The 2,196-nt window shown below is 43.1% G+C and overlaps 1 annotated feature.

The window, feature by feature from the left end:
• Window positions 1,368–1,869: an enhancer, noted in NCBI's record as "NANOG hESC enhancer chrX:30054376-30054877 (GRCh37/hg19 assembly coordinates)". NCBI's record gives its function as "activates a minimal SCP1, AML or CMV promoter by ChIP-STARR-seq in primed H9 embryonic stem cells {active_cell/tissue: H9 hESC(primed)}" and the evidence as "EXISTENCE:reporter gene assay evidence [ECO:0000049][PMID:30033119]".

Here is a 2,196-nt window from a genome sequence, read left to right on the forward strand (position 1 = left end):
TTCTTTTTTATGGCTAAATAGTACTCCATTGTGTATATGTAACACATTGTCTTTATCCATTCATCAGTTGACAGACACTTAGGTTGCTTCCAGATCTGACCTAATGTGAATAGTGCTGCAGCAAACATGGCAATGCAGATATCTTCTCAATATACTGACTTCCTTTCTTTTGAGTATATACCTAGCAGTGGGATTGCTGAATTATATGGTAGCTTTATTTTTGGGCTTTGAGGAACCTCCAAACTGTTCTTCATAGTGGTTGTACTAACTTACATGTCCAATGAGAGCGTGCAAGGGTTCACTTTACTCCACACCTTTGCCAGCATTTTTTTGCCTGTTTTTTGGATAGAAGCCATTTTAACTGGGGTGAGATAATGTCTCATTGCAGTTTGGATTTGCAGTTCTCTGATAATTAATAATATATAGTACCTTTTCCTATACCTGTTTTCCATTTGTATATCTTTTGAAAAATGTCTATTCAGATCTTTTGCCCATTTTAAATTGGATTATTAGATTTTTTTCTATAGAGTTGTTTGACTTCCTTATATCTTCTGGTTATTAATCCCTTCTCAGAGAGGTAGTTTGCAAATATTTTCTCCCATTCCATGAGTTGTCTCTTCACTTTGTTGACTGTTTCCCTTGCTGTGCAGAAGCTTTTTAACTTGACGTGACCCCGTTTGTCCACTTTTGCTTTAGTTGCCTGTGCTTGTGGGCTATTGCTCAAGTCCAATGTCCTGGGGAGGTTTTTCCAATGTTTTATTTTAGTAGATTCCCAGGTTGAGGCTTTAGATTTAAGTGTTTTGTTTGTTTTTTGTTTGTTTGTCTTTTTGAGATGGAGTTTCACTCTTGTTGCCCAGGCTGGAGTGCAATGGTGCGATCTCGGCTCACCACAACTTCTGCCTCCCGGTTTCAAGTGATTCTCCTGCCTCAGCCTCCCACGTAGCTGAGATTACAGGCAAGAGCCACCACGCCCAGCTAATTTTTTTGTATTTTTAGTAGACACAGGGTTTCTCCATGTTGGCCAGGCTGATCTCAAACTCCCGACCTCCGGTGATCCACCTACCTTGGGCTCCCAAAGTGTTGGGATTACAGGTGTGAGCCACCGCGCCCAGCCTTAAGTTTTTTTTTAAAGCAATTTTGACTTGATTTTTGTACACAGTGAGAGACAAAAGACTATTTTCATTCTTCTGCATATGGACCAGTTTTCCCAGCACCATTTATTGAGGAGACCATCTTTTCCCCAGTGTATGTTCTTGGCACTGTTGTCAAAAATGAATTCATTGTAGATGCATGGGTTTATTTTCTTAGTTCTCTATTGGTTCCCTTGGTCTATTATCAGGGGAAACAGCCCCCAATATTTCAATGTAGGTTCTTTATATTTTCCCTAAGTGTCGGCTGGTCTGAGAAATAAACAGAAAGAGTACAAAGAGAGAAATTTTACAGCTGGGCCTCCAGGGGTGTCATCACATATTGGTAGGACCATGATGGCGACTCCGAGCCACAAAACCAGCAAGTTTTTATTAGGGATTTTAAAAGGGGAGGGGGTGTACGAACAGGGAGTAGATCACAAGGATCACATGCTTCAAAGGGCTATAAAGATCACAAGGCAAAGGCAAGATTAGAATGACTGATGAATGTCTGTGTCCCGCTGTGCACGCATTGTCTTGATAAACATCTTAACAGGAAACAGGGTTCCAGAGCAGACAACCAGTCTGACTAGAATTTTCCAGGCTGGAATTTCCTAATCCTAGTAAGCCTGAGGGTACTGCAGGAGACCAGGGCGTATTTCAGTCCTTATAGACTCTGCCTATTACCCTGTCCTACTGTAGCTGAGCTAGTATCCAAGTTGCAAGACAAAGTCCTCTTTCCTCTTTCCTCTCTTCTCCTTCTGCAGAGGGAAAGTGTCTCTCCTAGAGCTGTGAGCTGCGCTGCCTGGGGTTGGGAAGGGGTGACACAAGCACTCTCTTGGCCTCTCTAGCACGTGTCTCACTAGGTCATGTGCACCCCAAATTCACTGGCTTTCAGCCCAGCATAGCACCAGGACTTACCTAGGAATTGCAGTCATTGTGGCCTAGACTGTTGGTATGGAGGATTCACCTCGACTAGGGCTGGTCTAAATGCCTTCTCTGTGGATGCTGGCTGAATTCTGCCCCATGCGGCTTTCCACTGTGACAGGGCAGCACTGAGTTCCAATGC

Source organism: Homo sapiens, chromosome X (genome assembly GCF_000001405.40).
Source record: "Homo sapiens chromosome X, GRCh38.p14 Primary Assembly".
NCBI classification, from domain to species: Eukaryota; Metazoa; Chordata; class Mammalia; order Primates; family Hominidae; genus Homo; species Homo sapiens.